The sequence below is a fragment of the Homo sapiens genome, chromosome 21 (assembly GCF_000001405.40).
Source record: "Homo sapiens chromosome 21, GRCh38.p14 Primary Assembly".
Lineage (NCBI taxonomy): Eukaryota > Metazoa > Chordata > Mammalia > Primates > Hominidae > Homo > Homo sapiens.
Window position 1 is genome coordinate 29295968 of NC_000021.9, and position 21335 is coordinate 29317302.

General features: G+C 40.5%; 1 protein-coding gene and 1 long non-coding RNA gene across 4 annotated transcripts in view, besides 3 other annotated features; one reads left to right on the forward strand and one right to left on the reverse strand.

The window, feature by feature from the left end:
* Window positions 211-2769, reverse strand: LOC105369299 (uncharacterized). The gene is made up of 2 exons (XR_937652.3): window positions 639-2769; window positions 211-375 (listed from the first exon to the last, which is right to left on the reverse strand). It is a non-coding gene; the product is annotated as an uncharacterized LOC105369299 (long non-coding RNA).
* Window positions 2480-3389: a silencer, noted in NCBI's record as "silent region_13238". NCBI's record gives its function as "represses an Ori minimal core promoter by ATAC-STARR-seq in GM12878 lymphoblastoid cells {active_cell/tissue: GM12878}" and the evidence as "EXISTENCE:reporter gene assay evidence [ECO:0000049][PMID:35858748]".
* The window catches only part of BACH1 (BTB domain and CNC homolog 1), a 62973-nt gene continuing 44592 nt past the window's right edge, over window positions 2955-21335 (forward strand). The window contains exon 1 of one of the 3 annotated variants that reach the window (NM_001186.4): window positions 2955-2986. The gene's annotated coding sequence lies outside the window, so the exon portion shown is untranslated. Of the gene's footprint in view, window positions 2987-3407; window positions 3632-9236; window positions 9356-21335 lie in introns of those variants that run through there. The other 2 variants (NM_206866.3, NR_027655.3) reach the window with 2 other exon arrangements.
* Window positions 4620-4729: an enhancer, noted in NCBI's record as "active region_18348". NCBI's record gives its function as "activates an Ori minimal core promoter by ATAC-STARR-seq in GM12878 lymphoblastoid cells {active_cell/tissue: GM12878}" and the evidence as "EXISTENCE:reporter gene assay evidence [ECO:0000049][PMID:35858748]".
* Window positions 6341-6635: a silencer, noted in NCBI's record as "tiled region #12458; K562 Repressive DNase matched - State 5:Enh". NCBI's record gives its function as "represses a minimal TATA promoter and a strong SV40 promoter by Sharpr-MPRA in K562 cells {active_cell/tissue: K562}" and the evidence as "EXISTENCE:reporter gene assay evidence [ECO:0000049][PMID:27701403]".

Sequence of the window (21335 nt, forward strand, 5' to 3'; positions counted from 1 at the left end):
GAACCCGGGAGGCAGAGGTTGCAGTGAGACAAAATCATGCCACTGCACTCCAAGCCTGCGTGACAGAGAGAGACACCATCTCAAAAAAAAAAAAAAAAAAAGCGATCAGAATTTTTTTTCTTGGTCCCCAAATCTCAACATTTTTTTTTCCCAATAGGAATTAGGTAGAAGCACTATGTCTCATTATAACCTCAAGATAATTTTTAAAAATCTGTTTTAGTAATAGATTTTAATAAACATATGAGTTAGTATAAAAGATCTTGAGGCTGATGTTCTTCAAAGTTGACCATGATGTAGCCACTTTTCTTGATTCCGAGTATTGCAGGATTACTCAAGGTTTTGTTGGCCTGGCAGCTAATAATGTTAATGCTAACTCTGGAAGTCCAGAAGACATAGGTCAGAACATACAGTTGTTTGTGAATATTTACACTGACATACAGGTTTTAAAAGAAATACATTCTAAGTGGTTTTGGTTCAAAGCAAGAGAATACTGAAAACAAAAAGTGCCACATCTTTCACTGAGCATTTTACTGCATTCATTCCTTCATTCAACCTACTATCTGTTTCCACTCCCATTCCTTCTCAATACTAGAATTAGCTTTTAAAAATAACCACATGACTTAGAAACCTCTACTCACTTATTGCAGACCACGGGATGAAGTCCAAACTCCAGGTGCTGTGCATGAGGCCCTTCTCATACTGACTCGGTTTCATTTCATTCTCCAGTTTCATTTTTCGTCCTGTCCCTACTACATGCCATAAGCTTGAAGACCACATGCTTCAGTATTAAAAATGCAGACCCTTAGGTCCTACTCAGATCTACAAAATTAGCATCTTTTGGGGGTGGGACCCAGGAATCTGCATTTTTTTTTTTTTTTTTTTTTTTGAGATAGAGTTTTGCTCTGTCGCCAGGCTGGAGTGCAGTGGCGCGATCTCAGCTCACTGCAACCTCCACCGCCCAGGTTCAAGCGATTCCCCTGTGTCAGCCTCCTGAGCGGCTGGGACTACAGGCGCACACCATCATGCCTGGCTAATTTTTTGTATTTTAGTAGAAACGGGGTTTCACCATGTTGGGGTTTAGTAGAAACGGGGTTTCACCATGTCGATCTCCTGACCTCGTGATCCGCCCGCCTTGGCCTTTGAAAGTGCTGGGATTACAGGCATGAGCCACTGCTCCCGGCCGGAATCTGCATTTTAACAAGCAAACCAAATATTCTTCCCCATAATGAAGCTTGAGAGTCACTCACTTGACTTGATACTCTTAGCACATCTGTATACCTTTGTGAGAACTTCTCAAATAATTAAACCTATCAGGGCATACATCATAATTTTCAGGCTAGAAAATGTCACTGCTATTATCTAAAGAAGCAAGAGTTCCTCCCAAAGAGGAGGGTCTGATCTTCCCCTAGAAAAAACTGCACAGGTGTAGAAAAAACTGCATAGGTGTAGAAAAAAGACACTGCAATTCCACTGGCTCAAGGTGGAAGGAGAATAAAGCCTCGGACACTCCCATGTGTCTGCAAGAACTTCAATCCTTCTTTCATGGTGTATTTCCAAGTGTCCTTTCCTCCTGTTTCACTAAATATCTGCACTCTCACCATGAACTGAGGCAGCCTGGGATGCGAGGTACCTCCTACCTCTGGACCCTATCTAGACTGCTGGGTTCCACTCTTCCCAATCAAGACCCAATGCAAATGTCACCTGCTCCAGGAAGCCTCCCCTAATTCTAGGTCATAATGTATCACTTCACCCCTCGCACTCTCATCCAATTTCACTTGTGTGATTTTCTCATGTATTTTGGATGTAGCTCAAACGTCCCCAAGTCCCACAGCCTGTGGGTGCAAATGCAGTCATGTTAGTCGTAATACCTGAATTATTATCTTGGTATCCTTTTTGCCCCGGGAACTCCAGGGCTGTGTTCTTGTTGCTGGCTCCAAAGCTAACAATAAAATCCCTTCACACAAATCGTCCTTTGGCTTCAGACCTCAAGGTCCGTGTCATCTCCGCAGGAACCCTCGTGGGGTTGGCGTGCCCAGTCCCCTCCGCTGCGCGTGCATCCCGCTCCGCTGACAGCCAGTGCTTTGGTTCTCCAGAGGTGTTAAATGGCTTGGGAACATAATTTCAAAACGGACAGTTGGATAAACACCAGAATAAGCACCAGAAGATGACAGCGGAACCAAGGCTCGAGATGGGCCGGCTGACACCACTGGGCGCTGAACCTGGCTGGAAGCTTCCTGGCAGCGACAGCGAAAAGGGAACACCTGTCGTGGGCGCCCTTGTTTCACTGTCAGTAAGAAGTAGAGCAACTGCTAGACGCGCTCCACAAAACCCTGGACGCACTTCATACACACCCCCACCCCAGCAAGCTCAAGTACCCTGTGAACCTGGACGCCCACCACCCCCAGGGCAGGCAGCGAGGAGCTCTTCAAGGGGTAAAGCGACCCCTGTGGGGCCAGCGCCCGTCCTCTCTCCTGCTGTTCGCGGGCACCCGGGCACGCGGCGACTCGGCTGAATTAGGGCGTCCTGCAGCTCCCGAGGCGAGGAGGCGCTTGGCCTTTCCGTTCCGCCCTCAGAAGGGAGAGGAGAGGTGGTCCTCGAGTGGGAGTCAGTTCAGGATGCGGGCTGTGCCACGCGCGGAGGTCCGGGGACCCCACCGCCGCCTCCTCGAGGCCCGCCCCGCCCCTTACGACCCGTCCCTGCAACCCCCCGCGTGGGCTTCCGGCCGCGGCGACCCCTGCCCCGCGCTATTGCGCGCGCTCGTTCGCTGACAGAGGCTTCGAGGGCGGCAGGGCGGGGCTTCGGCGCCGGGGGCGGGGCCTTCAGCGGGCGGGCGGGGTTTTGGCGCCGCGAGGTGGCGGCAGCAGAGCGGCGCAGAAGGGAGGGGGCGGCTGGCCGCGCGGAAGGAGTGAGTCACCTGACCGCTGCCCTCGCCGCCCGCCGGGCGCTCTCGCTTCAGTCAGTCGGGCCGCGCCGCGCCTCAGCTCTGGTGAGTGGCTCGGCCGTCCCGCCGGCCCTTCTCCGGGAGGGTTGGCGCGGTCAGGGCCGCGGGCCTGTGAGGGGAGGCCGGCGGACAGGTCCAGTGAAGGCGCGGGCGGGCCGGGGGCGGCTCTTTCTGGGCTGGGCGGGGCGCGGGGGGCACGTATCGGGGCCCGCGGGGGGCGCCGGCGGCCGGGATCCTGGAAGTGGCCGCGACGCCGGAAGGGGCGTCCCGTCGGCGGCCGAACCCCCTGCACTGCCGGAGCTGTTGTTTACCCGCGCGCGCCGTACTTTACCCGGGGCGGGCGGGGGCTGGGGGCCGCGGGGTCCCTGCCCCACCCCCCTCCCTGCCCTCGGGCGCCAGCCCGGCCCCTCGCCCGCGGCCCGCCCGGGCTGTGACACATCAGCACCGCCCTCGCGGCTGGGGCCCCGTATTGTCCTCCGCCGCCTCCCACCGCATGCCCAGCCTCGCGTCTACTCAGCCCGGTGGCTGTCGCGCGTGGAATCGCGTAAGAAAAGCCGAGTTTGTGGCTGGGGAGAGAAGGCCACCGTGCTGAGCTGGATTTAGCGAAGACTGGTTTTGGGGACCGGAGAGCCCAGGACTCCCTTTGTTGGAGTTTTGCCCACGCGTTGTAATTAAGCCTCGCACAATATGGTGAGAGTGGGCGTTGATTCTGGAGACACCAGCTTTGTGCTCGTGTAATGTAACACGAGTGCCGTTGCTTTCTCATTCTTACACGGCAGTTTCATGTCATTGAGTAGAATTGTGCGGAATGCTTTTATGGAGTGAGGCTTCTGCGTTAAACTTGTGCTGATTCCAGGTAAAGTGTAGTAGTAATTGTGAAAGAACGTGTATGAGGAAAACGAGCTACAATGTCATGCTTGGAGGAACAAAGAATGTTTTGTAGGATGCTTTGCTTTTTGGAGAATTGTGTAGGGGTAGGGACTGTTACCCATGGATGATGCTATGGGAATTTGATCATGTATTTGAACACCCTTTACATCAGAGGGTCTGCATTGAATGCAGTTCAGAAGGATAAAGGGTGGAAATCCCAGATGTGTTAGTGGCAGAGCACTTGAGCGCTTCACATAGTCAAGCAGAGAAATGGGAAGAGGTCGGCTTGCTTCTTCCTGGTCTTTGGGTAGTGGTGCAAGGGCTGGGCTGGGCTTGAAGGCACTTGCCACTTCTGCCTTTGGACATCTTGAAGAAGCTTAGGGAAGAAAGGCTCCCGGTGAGTCAGCTTGGAGTAGGGTGACTTTGGCGTAGTGATTCTTGTATTGTTGTTTAACCTATGTTTCTGTCAAGTGGTTTACTGTTGTTCGGTATGTTGGTTGGTTAACAAGGTAGGATGACTCTCTAAAAAGTTGGGTTGCTGAGTCATTCGCCCCAGCTTGAGAGGTAATTAGAAACAGCTGGTGCAAATACTCTCATCACATGCCTCCACTATAAAAGGCCAAAGAGCGCTCTAGAGAGGTTGCTTCAGAAGGCTGAAGGGGACCCAGCTGGGGTTGTTTTGATACAGGTTATCAGTGGGTGAAGTGGAAGAGCACTCTTAGGCAGTGGCCAATAGCACTGAGGCGGGTTTAAAGACGGAGCCTCGTGACCTGCTGTCTGAGAATAAATTTGCGCTGGAGAGAGCTAAAACTGGGGAAGAAATTTGCAGCTAGGGGTAACCCAATAAAAAATATTGTAACAAAAATATTTACTACTCTTACTGGACTTAGTTTCCTTTTTGTGGTTTCTGTTACGTGGTCTATAAGTTTCAAGCAGTGAGCTTAATTTGTGCGTCATAAAAATTTGGTTATGAGTACACAGAAGGGACTTGCTCTGTTTCTCATGGCCCTTGGCTTTTCATGCATACACAAGAAGTTTCAGGAGTCAGAGGAGGGTAAGCACCATATGGGTGGAATTAATAGGTCTCATTGGGTTAAGTCTCGAAAGAGCTGTTTAATAAATAGCCAACCGTAAATACCTGTCTCATTGTCTTGATTATATGACACCACTGCCTTTACACCTGGTGTCATTGCTTCTTGCTTTAAAAAGGAGCACACAACCCAAATATTTATATGAGTCCTCATTGCAAACAAAGTTTAGGAATGGGAAATGTAGAGCTGGGAATTTGGCCCTTTGGTGAAAAAAATGATGATTCCTATTAATGGTAGTTCATTTAAAATATTCTGTATTAGGAAAAACGATTTATTTTGTTCCTTTAAGTCTGGGACTAGAGGAGATTAGAAATCATGAATTTTGTAAGTATTAGGGCCTCCAAGGTGGGGTGCAAGGAGGTTCATTTGGAAGGAATATATTAAAACTTTTAAAAACTTTAATATAAGAAAGACATTAAGCTTAAAGATGCAGACTAACAATCGTGTATTCATATTATATAATGCGCGTGCATGTCCTCCACCCCTTTGTTGCTGGGGGAACATAGCCTGTTAACCACTGTCAGTAACATTCTTTCAACAACCGGAATGCTTTTTCTTTTAACTTACGGTTTCCTCCTAAGAGTTCTTTCAGACTGTTAATATTCCATTTAAGTTTTATTTTATAGGTAGTTCTATTGTCTGTATGTTTTACTTTAGAAGCTTGAGTGTAAATTTCTTGTTACATTGTTGATACTGGGGATGGAAATACAAAAAATACAGAATTTCATTTGATAACCTGTATTTTGAATTTGGAGACAAGCCCAGCGGTTGGTTTAATGTATGTGATCTGAAGTGCAGTGATGTGTAAAAGGGTGCAGTGGAAATACTTGAAGATAATCTACACATTGGAGTGTAATATGTATAGCATATGTAAAAATTAGTTTGTACTGTTACTCCTTGAAGTCTGTTTTTTTTTGTTTGTTTTTTGCCAAGCTTATGTTCTCTTAAGATTAATAAGACGACATATTCAGTAAATCCCTTGGGAAGTGGCATTTATTCAGAATATCAACCTCCTACTAGTGCTGGGGGCGGGTGGCGGCGGTGAGGGTGGTTAGTATTTACCATTCAGTTAAATCTCATGTGCCATGTGCCTTCTACACCCCTGTACTGTGAGAGGTGATGCTCAGAATAACAGTTGCAAAGCCCGTTAAAATTACCACTTGTCAGATTTTCTCTTCATAGTGCTGATCTCTCCATGACTTACGTTTTAGGAATCACCACCTCTCTTCTAATTTTCTGACTAATGTTCTGTTAATGAGAGAATTGTCTTAACCCTAAAACCTGCATTCCCTGAGCATTCTAGACAGAGGGTTTATTTTATGTGGTGGAACGATGATTTTTGAGATTGTTTTGATTTAAAATATATGTCAAATGAGGTAATGTACCGATGGCCAAGGTATGGGTAATTTGAGTGCAATTCGCCAGAATCCGTGCCCCTTGGAGGGAGTAAACATTTCAGGACTGCAGCTAAAACATTGACTTACACTCTCCTGAAGCCCAGGCACCTGGCTTACACAGTGCACTAACATAACTGAAGTCTGGGTTTGATCACTGTACAGTTGACAAAGAAGCAGTAAGCAGAATGGTTAAAAAGTAGTTCTGGAGCCAGACTGCTTAAGGTCAGGTTCTGGTTGTGTCACCCACTTTAAAGCCTTGGGCAAGCTCTTCTACCTGGTAACTAGTGCCTCATTGTTTCCTCTGTAAAACAGGGGTGGTGATAGTAGAATCTGTATCAGAGAGGTTGTTGTGAGGATTATATGCGTTAATACGGGGTAAGTGGTTAGAACAGTGCCAGCTTTATAAGAAACATCAAGTGTTAGGTGTTATTATCTGTTGTTCAGAATCAGGGAAGTACTTAGTTACACAGTAGTGTTTTATAGCTGTTGAGAGCTGAATTGCCGGCATTGATCACAAGTGAGACTGGAAAAACAACCCGGGGAACACTCTTATGTTAAGTCAGTAGCACCATCTCAAACATACATCCAACTTCTGAGGGCAACGAACACAGGACATAGCTTTTTACTTAAAGGAATCTTAACAGTCTCAGCGGAGTGCTTGAGGTAGTCACTAACCAGTTAATTGAAACTGGCTTTTACGAAATAAAAACACTTGCCATTCTTTGGCTAGTCTTTTCCACGTTGTAGTTGACATTGTGGCCTGGCAGCTTTAGTAACCTGTCCACCCCTCCCTTCTTGTTAATACCAGAACAGAACTAGTTTCTCAGTACATATTCCTGGGCCCTATCCAGTTTGTTGGAAACATTTAGAATGTAAATTTGTAAGCTAATTAGTTTCTTCTAAGTATTATGTTTTCTTTAGATGATATGCCTGTACTAATACAGAAAAATTATCCATGAAATGGATATGAATACAATGGACATATTTATCGTATAGCTTTTTGTACCTGTTAGTAATTCAGAAAGGTTGTGTTATTTTGACCATTCTTTCAGCCAGATTGTAAGTTTCCTGATGGTGAGAATCTGTGTCTTTCTGTTTTATCTCCTATGGCACTCTGAATGTGCCTTGGCTGTGTTTCTTTAATAAACTGTTGGTTGCTGAACTGGGTGGTATGATATGCGTTCATTCTAGTTCTGTGATTTTGAAACTTGGGAATGTTTAACAGATTGAAGGAGAGAACATCGTGTGTGGTACCTTGTAAGTGTGCACTGAGTTGAAATTCTTTTGATTATTTAGCTTTCTACTTTCTGTTTTTATCATTGGTGTGATTATTGAGAAGGCAGCTGGAATTAAGTAATTCTAGTTCATCTCCTAAGATAGACATAAAACTTGTCTTGTGACTTATTTTTACCCATAATTGGATTAGAATTGAATTGAGCAAAATATAATTTGGTTTTCTAGATGTTAAATGTCTTATATGTCTAATACTTTGAATATCACTCCTCTAGAACAGGTTCTTTGTTTTATTTAGGATCAGGGACAGGTTAGAAAATATTCAAATATTCATAGGATAATAAAAAACTGCCCTGAAGCAAACGTGAGGAAGAAGAAATAGTGGTAGCCAGAATCTTGGTTGTTAATGACCAGTGTAGAAACACAGTGGGCATGCAGTGAAATTGGCTGGCAGCTGGTTCCTTCTCAGTACGGGCACAATTTAGAAAATGTTACATTAATGCAGCTGAAATTTTGTGCAGATCATGTTATTTGAAAAATAAATGTAAACACTTTTTGCAGTGCCTTAGGAAAGTCATCGTTCAAACTAATATTTTTGTAATAAACTAGTTATTCCCAGTTTTTTTTTTCTTTTTTTTTTTTTTGAGATGGAGTATCACTCTGTCGCTCAGGCTGGAGTGCAGTGGCGCGATCTCGGGTCACTGCAACCTCCGCCTCTTGGGTTCAAGCAATTCTTCTGCCTCAGCCTCCGTAGTAGCTGGAATTATGGGGCACCCCCCACCATGCCCAGCTAATTTTTGTGTTTTAGTAGAGATGGGTTTCACCATGTTGGCCAGGCTGGTCTCGAACTCCTGACCTCAAGCAATCCACCCGCCTTGGCTTCCCAAAGTGCTGAGATTACAGGCGTGAGCCACTGTGCCTGGCCCCTAATTATTCCCAGTTTCTTTCAGGTAAAGTTTTTTTCACTTTTTAAATTTATCATTTTTTTAGATCAGATCAGTCAGTGGACAGTTGCACTCTACTTCCCCATCCCTCATTAAAGTGGAATTACACTAAAAAAGGTTTTCAATTCCTTTGTAGCCTGGACATTAGTAATAGCCTACCTCTAAGGCTGTAGAGTAAATAGTATAGTAAGGGAAATGTCCCTCCCTCCCCCTACACACCTTTTTTCCAGTTATCTCTTCTTTTTATTGATTTGTCTGCCTCCAGGACCCTAGGGAGGTGTTTTTGTCCTAAGGAGGTGAACTCCTGAGGGTCCTATTGAAGAAATAGGGCGACCTATCCACCCAACTTCCTCTTTACTGATATCTTCACATGCTTATTGCCTTATTCATTTTCTAAAGTGTGCCAGCGTCTTTCAGAAGTCAGCTAAATTAGTGCAGTTGCTCATCCATCAGACAGTTTTGTTATAAAATATGTGGCTATAAAAGATTGAATAAATTTATTAGGTTGTAATTTCATTAATGTGTATTTTATATTTAAATATTATTTTAAAAAATGTACAGTGGTTATCTGATCTTGGCCCAGGCCTCTTCAATTTCCAGTGTACCTGATGTCTCTTTATCAACTGTTTTTCTGAGGTGTATCTCAGCCTGGCCTTGGGTACTCCCCTAGGTAAGAGTCATAATTCAGGTTAAAAGAGGTAAGAAAAAAAAAAGCTTTTGGCTTTTGTAATCTTGTTTTTTTTTTTTTCTTTCACATTAGCAAAAGACTGTTGAAGTAGAGAGCATTTTGCCCAGCTCACTCGGATTCTTTGCTGGCATGCCTTCAGTTTCAGTTGTCATCCAGAGAAGTCAAAGGAAATGCTGCTTGGGGATGAGCATGTAATTACGATTAACTTTCCCTACTTCGTTGTCTCTTTGTGGTAAAAGACTGTCACAAGTGCTATTCAAACTATAGGTATTTTTTTTTAGATTTCTAAAAAGTATATTTTGTCTCTGAGGGCCTCCTGTCTTTGGACTAGTTTGTCTTTTTCCAGACCCCAGAAAGGCTGGGCCACCTTTTCTTCTTTGAGCAGGTTGGCAACAGTGGTCACAAATAGCAGAGGAGCTGAGATTCTAGAGAGCTATCCTACCACTGCTTCTCAGATGCCAGTGTGGAAACAGCCTCTTCTTTTTTGTTGAATTAGCTTGGAACAGCTCTCTAATCTCTGAAGAGTGAGGAAAAACTGTGTTTTTAAGTTTCAAGGCTAAGGCACTGTGTTCTCTTTTCTCCCTGTTCCTGCTGCTGTTCTCCCCCAACTCACATGAACGCATACTTAACTTTCAGTGTATGTGGACAGTAGGGTTGCTAAATTCATGTCAATATTTGTGGCATTCCTACATGTTAGGCATTTGGTTTACATTTAACTTATGAAACAAATGTTTAGGCTTTTATAAGCCAGGAACTTTTCCAGATATTGGCAATAATGAACTTTTCAGAAGTTACAGTCTAATAGACAGGCAAACTATTCCCATAGCATGCTATAGTAGCAACATGTAAAATGTGCTGTGGAACCACAGACTATTAAAAGCCTAAGTTTTGGGAAATCAAGAAAGCCTTAGGGATGTTTAGTGATGAATGCATAGGTTAGTGGAGGAAACAACTTGTATCAACTCAATTTGAGAAGCTTAGCTGTGAATAAGAGGAGAGAGAAATAGATTTTAGTAGGGAGAAGTTGGGTCAGGAAGAGTGTGTGTGTGTGTGTGTGTGTGTGTGTGTGTGTGTGTGTGTATTTAAAAATCCAGTCAATGGAAAAAGGTTGAAGATGCAGGCAACGTCCTTGTTTTGTCCTTGGCAAGTTCCTCTTATGGTTGCAAGATGGCTGCCACAAGTTCAAGTGTCACAAGAAAATATGACTTAAGTTTCCTGGAAGAAGACACACTTTTTTTTTTTTTTTCCTAGGTTGTTGCTATCAGTGAGAAAAATTTTTCCCTAAAGCCTCATAGCAGATGCTACCTTGTCCCTCTCTCCTCTCTTCATAGGTCAGCATTGCACACAAGCCAGTGCCTAAATGAGTCAAGGTCAAGGGGAATAGTACCGCTGTGATTGGCATAAATGGATCGTGATTCATCTTAGGTTGTGGCTGGGGTCTACTTCCTTGGAAGTTGATGGCCTCGGGTTGAGAGTAGATACGTGAGCACAGTCAGGGTTTGGTTAGAAAGTGAGGGGGTGAATGGTGTTGTGCAGTTAACAGTGACATCCTTGTCTACTAGTTCTGCCACCACTACACTTAGATACAAACTTCGGAGGAGAAAAAGAAAATGTGCTTGCCTTTGGATTTGGAATTTTAGGTGACTTTTTTTCCTCTTATATGCCATTTCCTTCTATGATCAAGTAGCACTTTTACAATCAAATCAAATCAATGGTTTATTTAAAAATTATTTAAAAATTGAAAATGCCAATTTTGTCAATAAATATATATAGAAGAAATAATTTTTTTTTTCAATGCTTTAAACATTTCAAAAGTTCCCTGCCATTGTCTTATTCCTTTCAGGGAGAGGAGAACATATAATTATATCTTGTAGTTTCTGATTATGTGTATACTAAGAGGACTACTCTGTCCCTCAGTCCATAGTGCACACCCACCTGTGGTCTCTATGGCTTGCACTGAGTGCTGAGGCCAGCCTGGCTCAGATAGAATTGTTAGTTCATTGGCTAGATGGGTCAGGATTCTTTAGAATGCAAATTCTTGAATCAGGAGTACAAACAGGAACATCTTCCCTTTTCTACACACTCATTCCCCTCCTCGAAGGGAAAGCTGTCCCGTAGTTAGCTTATTCGTCATTCTTTTCAGACTTTAAAATTAATGCCACCTTAAGTTTATACAGTATTCTTGTAGTACTCCTAACTTTTCTGTTTTGCTGTATGTGTACATTGTAGAAAGATTAAATCAAGCTAATTAACATGTCCATTACCTCACTTACCTTTGTGTGTGTGTGTGTGTGTGGTGAGAACCTTTAAATCTACTCTCTTAGCAATTTTGAAATACAGTAGGATCCCCACCCACTGTTTTACTTTCAGCAGTTTGTTACCTGTGGTCAGATGAAGTCCAAAAATATTAAATACAATAGATATTTTGAGAAAGAGACAAACATCACATTCACATAACTTTTATTACAGTATATGGTTATAATTGTTGTATTTTATTATTGTTAATCTCTTACTGTGCTTGATGAAAAAGCATAGTATATATATAGGGTTTGTTACTATCTGCAGTTTCAGGTATCCACTGGGGTTCTTGGAATGTATCCCCTGTAGATAAGGGGGACACCTGTGTATGTTGTTACAAGTATGATCACTGTGTAAAAGCACTTTTGTATTTCATTCTTGTTCCTTCTCAATCGCAGGTCTGGGTGCTTTCTGTGCTGTGAAAGGCAGACAAATAATGTAAATCCTAAACACTTGAGTGTTGTAAATTTACAAAATGAGAATTGCTCAATGGTTGTTTCTTTTTGAGAGTAACAAATAGACTGTGATAAATGGCCAGAGTAGGCTTCTGAACTGGTATTAGTTTTTTGGATAGAATTTAGAAAGACTTGTACTACCAATATAATTTTTGTCTCAGATAAATGCAATAGTATTTCCCTACTCAGTAGTTCCTCAGATGCTATTTAAACTGAGCTATATTTCAGCTTTATTTATAGGCTGCAAATTGTTCCTTATTTGGCTGAATCTTGTGGTTATGATATAATGAAAAGTAGTTACTGAGATCACTGGTGCAAATCTGTAGCTTGGAAATCCTCATTTTAGAAATGATTATTTTGACTCCCAAGTTAAATAGTAAAAAATAGACTTATGTTTTTAGTTTTAGCTATGTATATTGAGAAACTGTGGCCCTACGGTGGCTGTTAGGGATTAGTGGATTAGGTTGTTTTTAAATAAGACATTTCAGTTTAGTATCTCTACTTGAATAAAACAGTTTCAAATTTGTGATTCATATGATATACTGATTGCCCTACGGTAACTTCTGTTTTATTTAATTAAAATTGTTAACATTCTTTTTTATACTCTTAAGCACCTCCCTCCACCCTCACCCCCCTTTTTGACTCAAATTTTATTGTGAGTTGGTGTATAGTTAGGAATTTGAAGAGCACTTTTTTTGTTTATTTTATCTTTTCGGTTACTATGCATACTATGTGTGTCAACTCTTAAACCTGCAGGGGGTCATTTTGGCCATCAACTAGTTTTAGGGCTTTCGCCTCCTAAAGAATATGAATTATGGTTGTAATTTTTACAGTTTAAAAAACAAGATGGCATATGAAGAATCTTTATTTCATTATGAAAATAGAACATGGATGCTTAATCCTCTGTATTGAAAGTAACTTGTAGTGAAATACTTCCTAGTGTTCTCTTCTTCTAGTTGTCCATATGTAGTATGTATAACTATAGACCTTGATGATTTAAGTTGAGCACAGTTTAGTGTCAGGTTCCTTTCAGTGATGCATGAGATTGGTTATATGATCTAGTGAGTGTTATTTAGAAATTAATTCACCAGACCCGGGTGTGGTGGCTCATGCCTGTAATCCCAGCACTATGGGAGGGCGAGGCAGGCAGATCACCTGAGGTCAGGAGTTCGAGACCAGCCTGGCCAACATGGTGAAACCCTGTCTCTACTAAAAATATGAAAATTATCTGGGCGTGGTGATGCTCGCCTGCAATCCCAGCTACTTGGGAGGCTGAGGCATGAGAATTGCTTGAACCTGGGGGACAGGTGTTACAGTGAGCCAAGATTGTGCCACTGCACTCCAGCCTGGGTGACAGAGTGAGACTCTGTCTCAAAAAAAAAAAAAAAAGAAAGATTCACCAAATATTGATTAATAAGGGGAAATTTGTTGTTCCACAAATGCCCATTTAATCTGTTTGTGTAATAGTGTTCCTTCTCATCACACACAGGATACTTGGGGTATTTCTTGAACTCCTTGTTCTTCCATCCCTCCTCAGTTTTACCTATTCTTCCCCCACATACCACTTGAGTCATGTAACATGAATTGAAATGTAATATTTGGACCTGGGAGCAGAGACTTTTTCAGTCTTTAAATTATTGCCCTTCTCAAGCCTTTAGTTTCCTTATCTGTAACAGAAGCGGGTCATCCTGGATGAATGTGCTTTTTTAATTGGAAATTCTTTAGGTCTGTGAAATTAGCCATTATTTTGGGCAGACTTGTGCAATTTTAATATTTTCATTTTATCTTGAGATCCTTATTAAGCTTAACTGAATTTTTATTATAGGAAGTGTTAAGCCAGGTAATTTACAGAAGATCACATGGTTGATGATATCAGTAGAGCGTTAATCTGATTATCCACAGCTGCTGGTAGCCTTAAAATAACCTAAAACTTGATTTCCTGTTGTCCCTAATAATTCTGTGTGTTTAACACTTCATATTTTTCAGAGGGCTTCGTGAGACAGATAGGGTGGGAGCTACCTACTTAGGCTATCTATTCAGTTTCACACATGCACATTTGCCCTTGTTCACATGGCTAGACTTGACTTGATGGGTCTTTCCTCCTCATTTTCCTATAGCAGGGTTCTCTCATTTTTTTTAAACACCAAGTCTTCTTTTTATTTTAGATTTCTATAAAATTTAATTTATTCTTTAGTAATTTATTGTGAAGAATCTGCTAAGTTTTAGAGCCCATCAACTTATCATGTAGTGACAAACCAATTATCTGCTGATGACTGTAGGAAATATCTACTCTAAAGGGGGAAAATGTAATTGGCAATCTTTGGGAGATTTCACGACAATCAAAATAATTGTGAACTATCTTTTTAACCAAGGCACATTTTTTGTTTGTTTATAGTTATTTATTCCAACATTTTTCTGATTATAAAGTAGTATGTATTTATGGTTAAGAATTTGAATGCAGAAACAAAAATTACCTAGATCTTACCATGCTAATATTTTAATTATATATCCTAACAAGGCATGGTGATGGTGATGAGGGTGGCAACCAAGATTTCTGGACATACTGAATTGGTGATGCCTATTAGACATACAGGTAGTAATTTGAGTATGCAGTTGGCTATATGAGTATGAAATTCAAGAGAGAAGTCAAGATTGGACCAAATACGAATATGAGAGTGTTCAGCAAGTCAGTGAAGTGATCGTGTCTCCATTGTGGGTCCAGATGTGTTCACCTAGGGAGTGTGTGCAAAGAAGAAACCAGAGGATTGTGGTATCCTGGAAGCCAAGTGAAGACAAGGTTTCAGGAAAGGAATGATCAACTTGTTAACTATTGCTGAGATGCTGTGTAAGAAGACTGAACATTTGCCATTTGGTGATGTGGAAGCTGTTGAGCTTCACTAAATGGTTTCCACGGAGTGGAGGGGAAAAGGCTTGTTTGAGTGGCCTCAAATGAAATTGGGAAGAGAGGGAAGAGACAGTGTGAGTATAAATGGTTCCTTTTGGAAATTCAGTACAGGAGAGCAAAGAATTATAGATCGAGGGGTATAAGGAGGGTCAATAAATTTTAAGAGAGGATCCATTATTCATCAGTTCCATTAAAGGCAAATGCAAAATTTTATTATGTGCGTGGTTTTCTGGTGGAAGTTCAATAGATTTCATCAGATTCTGTAAGGCAGAGAACCAGTGCTCTAGTGATTTGGCAGTTCAACAGCTCATTTTTCTGGAGGATACCCTTAAAATTTTAACTGATTTAAATTAATATTCACCAGTATTAAATAGTATGTGTAACATCGTACCCAAACAAGATGTCTTTCTGTATTTTTTTCTTTCCTTCTCTTAGTTTTGTTAAAATCTTTTTAGTTCAGAATATTCTCTATCAAATGCCTTTTCTATTTGAAGACTCTCCTAAAAAGTTATATTAATACTTGCAACCAAGTGATCAACCATTTACATTTAACTAAATTTTGCTACTTTTGTTTACTATCTATTTAAACATTTTAAGTTTGTGTTTTTAGTCAAAGTAATACTTGTTGGTTTTTGTTTGTTTGTTTTTTTAAGTACAGAGAACAACCTTATCTGCTGCACCTCACCCCCTAATTCTGCTTCAGAGTTATGTGCAATGTTTACTGGTTTCTGCTATTTAATTTTTTTGGTGGATACCTCTGTCTAAAATGTTTACACCTCAGTTTATTTATCAACCTAAGATATTATCTGTTGACTTGGTATTACTGTGGGTGATGATTTCGTTTACTCTACTATCCCCCCACATGTATTTGTAATCTTATTATTCCACTTCTACTGTTGATCACCTCTGCAACTCCAGCTCTAAACACTTTTTTTCTATTTCTTTTTCTTGTCTCATTAATCTGAGGCAGTGCCTTTTGACTCTGCACATTGTAAGTTGTATGGAAATACCATTCCCATTCTTCCTGATTCTGTCTCCCAGCCTGCTTTATTTTGTCAAGGTTAATAATATTTACATTCTATGCTATAGTTATAATTAAGTCTCTCATTATTTGTCTATTCTAAAAGTTGAAAAAAGTCACAGAGATGTAAAGTGACATGCTTAACTGACAGTGGAGTCCTCAAGTTATAAAGTGCTATTAATCTTTTGTGCTGTCCACCCATAGGTATCCCTAGAGCAGCGCTAGCTGCTGTTTGGCAGTTTCTGGAGAAGTCTTTATGTCCTTACTTGTGCTCCCTGATAACAACTCTGTCCTCATCTTCAGCCCCTGATTGTGGGATTTTAGGGGTATCTGAGATGTAAGCATTTAGAAAGTGGTGTAGACAAACCGTGGAAGAGGCTGAGTTGGGAAATTTTACGTGTTGGGGGAATTTTCATTCTTTGCTTTTTTCCCCTCCCCTCTTTCTTGTGGGAGCCTTAACTGGGATAGTAACAATTGCACCCGCCTCTCTGCCCATTAGTTGCTCATCTTAGAAAATCTACAGTTAACATATTTAGTGGCGAAATACTTAACACTTTCCTTATATGGGAATGAGATGAGGATACCCACTGTCACCACTCTCACTATTCGGTCATTGCAATAAGGGAAGAAAAAGAAATAAGCATAAAGACGGGAAAGAAGTAAAATGGTCTCTGTTTGCAGATGACATGATTGTGTGCATAGAAAATCCTATGGAATCCACAAACAGCTATCCGAACTAGTAAGCAAATTAAGGTTGCAGAATTCACGGTTGATATTTAAAACGATAATTTTGTTTTTACACAATAGCAACAAAACAAAACAAAAGAGAAAATGAAGTTTAAAAAAACCAACTCTGTATGCAGTAACTATAAACATTAAATGCTGAGGAATATAGCAAAAGCTTCACAAGCCCTCTACTAAAAAGATCATAATAATGCTGAGATAAAGAATGCCTAAGTAAATGAAGAGAGATGCCATATTCATATACTGGAGGACTCAGTTTTTTAGATGTTGGTTCTCCCCAAATAGATCTATATTTTCATTGCATTCCTAATCAGAATTCAACTAGCTCTTACAGTAGAATTTAATAAGAATTAAAAAGCCCAGAAGAATTAGACATTTCACAAAAGAAGGTATACAAATGGCTAATAAGCACATGTAAGGAGGCTCAACATCCATTACTTATCAAGAAATGCAAAGTAAAACCACAGTGAGATACCACCATACATATCAGGATAGGCAGGATTAAAAAGATGACAGTACCAAGGGTTAATGAGAATGTAGAGCACGGCTGTCCAACCTTTTGGCTTCCTTGGGCTGCATTGGAAGAATTGTCTTGGGCCACAAATAAAATACACTAACACTAACGATAGCTGACAAGCTAGGAAAAAAAAAAGGTCCATGCATGATTTTCATGCTATCTGCCACCGCCGATGAAACAAAACAGTCCTCACGTTCAAAGGGATGGACACGTCTTACGTAGAGCATTCTAATTAATTGCCATACATTGGAATTGTCATACACTGCTGGTAGCAAGATAAAATGATACAGTCACTTTGGAAAACTATTCAGTAATTTCTAAAAAGTTAGGCATGTGCCTATAATATGACCCAGCTCTTCTACTCCTAGGTGTTTACCCAAGAAAAGTGATACACGAAATATATGTCCATGCAAATGTTCATCAAAGCTTTATTACAATAATCCCAAATTCAGAACAATGCAAGGGTACATCTTTATTATAGTAGTCCATCAGAGTCAAATGGATAAACAAATTGTGGCATATCCATGTAATGGAGTGTTATTTTGTAATACAAAGGAACATCTGATGTATGCAACAACATGAATGAACCTCAGAAACATTAAGAAGTAATGTTTCTGAGTAATGAAAGAAACCCGAAGTAAGAGTACATAATATGTGATTCTATTTGTATAAAAAGAAAATGCACATTAATCCATAGTGACATAAAGCAAATTATTGGTTACCTGGAATCAGGCACAGGGAAGGGTACATGTCAATGCCCTTGGAGGAAGGGGCGTGTGAAATTTTGAGGACTGATGGAAATTTTGTCTTGGTTGGGGGGGGTGGTGGTGGTTTTATGCACATATACAGTTGTTAAAGGTCATTGTATTGCATGCTTTAAATAGATATGGTTTATTCTATATAAATCATACCTCAAAGTTGCTTAACAAATAGTGACTGACAAAGGCATGACAGAAAATATGTATTCAGTAAAAAAGCTTTATTGATGTGGACCAATTCTAGTTACTAGTTCACATTTTCATAGCAGATAACAATCCTATTCAGAATCAAGTAGCAGCCAAATATGTTAAGCAAATAAAAGACTTCATTGTTTCTTAAGCTCTTTGTAGTAAGAAGGTATAACAGTGGAATCTGTTAGTCTTGTTTTGGTTCTGGAGCTTGGATTTCCTGTGTTCCTTCTCATCTTTGTTCCAGTATTTACTTCCAAGCTCTTCTAAGCTTATGACCTGGAATTATCAAAGTTGGTTTTCATCATTTGGGAAGTAAAACACCATTTATTTTTGAGCTTTGAGGAGTCTATAACTTTAACAAACTTCCCTAACAGTTCACAGTCTTCTCCTCTAAGCTTAACTTTAGTTTCATAATTTCGAATATGGATTTAGACCCAGCAACTATAACAAAAGGTCCATGACTTAACTATATAGTTTTTAATGTTAGGAAAAGTAAATGAAAAATCTTGCCTGTATGGGACCTCACATGATGTTGTAATAATCATGAGCTGCAAAAATTGTAGTGATTCCCTCCCACCCCATTTTTAAAAAAGCGGTGGCATCTTTAGTTATATAACAGTTCTAATGTAAATTACCAGGTTATTTACTCCTCTAACAATGTCATCATTTTTGGTGTTGCTGTAAGCTCCTCTGCTACTTACCTTAGTTCAAACTTTTTTTTTTGTTTCCCATTTTCATTCAGCCTTTTCAAAATATATTTGTCAGTGTACCTTATCCAATAATACTTAAGGATTTTCTTAAGGCTGAGAGAAATAACTTTAGAAAATGTGACTATCAAATACAGATGTTTAAACAGTTATGATATTTAAGCCTGTAAACGGTTAAAGAAAATAACAGCTTGGTCATGGAGTTACTCTTCCAGGCTCTCCTGGCAGGTGAGTCGGGTCTTAGGACCTTGGGAAGAATGTTGTCTTAAATTACTGTCCTGAATTAAGTTTCCACAGACTTTCTGATGTTAAGTTTTTTTCAGAATTACAGAATGATGAAAAGCCATGTCTTTAGAATTTTTCTTATGGGAATCTCCACCTTAAATTTAAAATCATTTTTAAAATAAAGGCCCTTAAAGGAGAGTTAAGGGTGTAGACACAGGATACTGTTGGATCTTTGCCATCCACTTGAAAAATTGAATGTAAGGTTCACCTAATTTCAGAAGAACACTCAAACTTTGGGTATCTTAGGTGTATTGTAACAGGAACTGACTGGCTTAGGGGAGTTTGAAGCTTGGGCTTAGGGAGGTTAGCTTTCTTAGCTTAGGGAGCTCAGAAAGATGTCATAGTAGAGGAATTTCCCTGTCTTCTGAGCCATTGAATACCCTGCCCTGAAATTGAGTGAGGTGAAAGTAATTGACAGGTTGATGAAGGTGATGTTAGGCAGAAACAGTGAGGAGGCAAAGGTGGAAATTCCAAATAGCCACTAGAAATGCGAGAAGGCAGGTTTTGAGGAATGGACTGGGCTGCAGATCAGGGCACTGCTTTTATAAAAAGGCTGGCACTTGCCCATATGCACCGTTCCTGATGTCCACTGGCCACCACTTGTGGCCAACCACACACACACACACCCTTGACTAACAGAACTATTTGTGAAATAATTGTTCTCATTAATTGAATATTATGGTTAAATGAAAATTGACCAGGAAAGTAGTTTTTGTTTGAAGACTTACTTCAAATAAATACCTTTCCAGATGTCCACATTCCTGTGTAAATTGATTATAATGATCATTATTATCTTTTTTACTTGAGGCATCATTCTCATTTTGAACATATCTAGGTTATGTTCTTGAAGGGACAGTCTTTTATTTGTGTTTTCTTGGCACTTAATGCATCATATGGCCCAGCTAACACTTGTAGGAAGAACATTTGTCATTTTTCAATGAAGATAAAAAATGTATGGTAGCCTTTTTTTAAAAAAAAAAATTTGAGGTGTTATTTATTGTACCCTTCTACATTGAGAATTAAAACACAACATATAATCTATTGAAACTTGAGGTAGATAAAATTCTAGCTCTTTTTCACACATGGAACTTTATACAAAGTTATCTTCTGACTTTCTGTTAGATGAAATATTGTAGACCTGGTTCCATGATCACATGTTCACCTTAGGTTTTTAAGAGTTTTTTTTCCTTTAAATAAATTATATAATGTGATAAAGCCACAGCATCTTGTTTTCTGTATGATTTTGAAAGCAAAAATGTCAAGTAGTAACTATATCAAAACTTAAATTATGTGCATTCAGCAGAGAGCAGAAGTTATTTCCAAATTGAGGTGTAGGAAGCTTTAAAATGCTTATTCATCCTTTATCAGCACTAGTGAATGAATTGGCAATTTCCTAAGGTCAGCAAACTTTTATTTTGAATGATAACAATAGTATTATTTCTAAGAATATAGAAAAATGCAGGCGTAACACAGGAGTCCAAATTTAGTATTAAGTTAATAGAATTTTAGATTCTGGAAGGCTGGAGTGTTTTTAGGTTTGAGAAATGTTAGAAGGTGCATGATGGATGTTAGAGGACATGAAGGTGCCGTTCTTGTCTGATGTAGTTGTTACGTAGTTATTGGGTAAAAATGGATTGCTGACCACTTAGATGGTTTCCAGGATTAGGAGAAATGATTTTCAGAACACTTCTGTAGTGCCTCATGCTAATGAAAGCAAAAGGCAAGGTGTTTTCATGACTGTAGGTCATATATATTGGCCATGTTTATAGTTGCCAGTCCTTGCTCTTTTTTGGCCTGTTGTTGCAGGTATGTCTTTGACTTCCAGAGGGATGAGCTGGCCTCTTTTTTGTCCCTCAAGTCGCTGGAAAAGCTGTCCAAGAAATTTTCTCTGAATGCTTGGCTCAGTGGCATTGTTCCACATATGTTGGAATAGGTGACTAGGCTGTGTTTGGAAGAAGATCTAGATTGGGGTCCCCAACCTCCGGGTTGCACAGCAGGAGGTGAGTGGCTGTCCAGTGAGCATTACTGCTTGAGCTCCACCTCCTGTCAGATCAGCAGTAGCATTAGATTCTCACAGGAGTGTGAACCCTATGGTAAACTGTGCATGCAAGGGATATAGGTTGCGCAGTCCTTATGAGACTCTAATGCCTGATGGTCTGAAACAGTTTCATCCTAAAACCATTGCACCCGCCCATGTGGGGAAAATTTGTCTTCCATGAAACCCATCCCTGGTGCCAAAAAGTTGGAGACTGCTGATCTAGATGATCTCTGTTTTGTTTCTGTATTAAA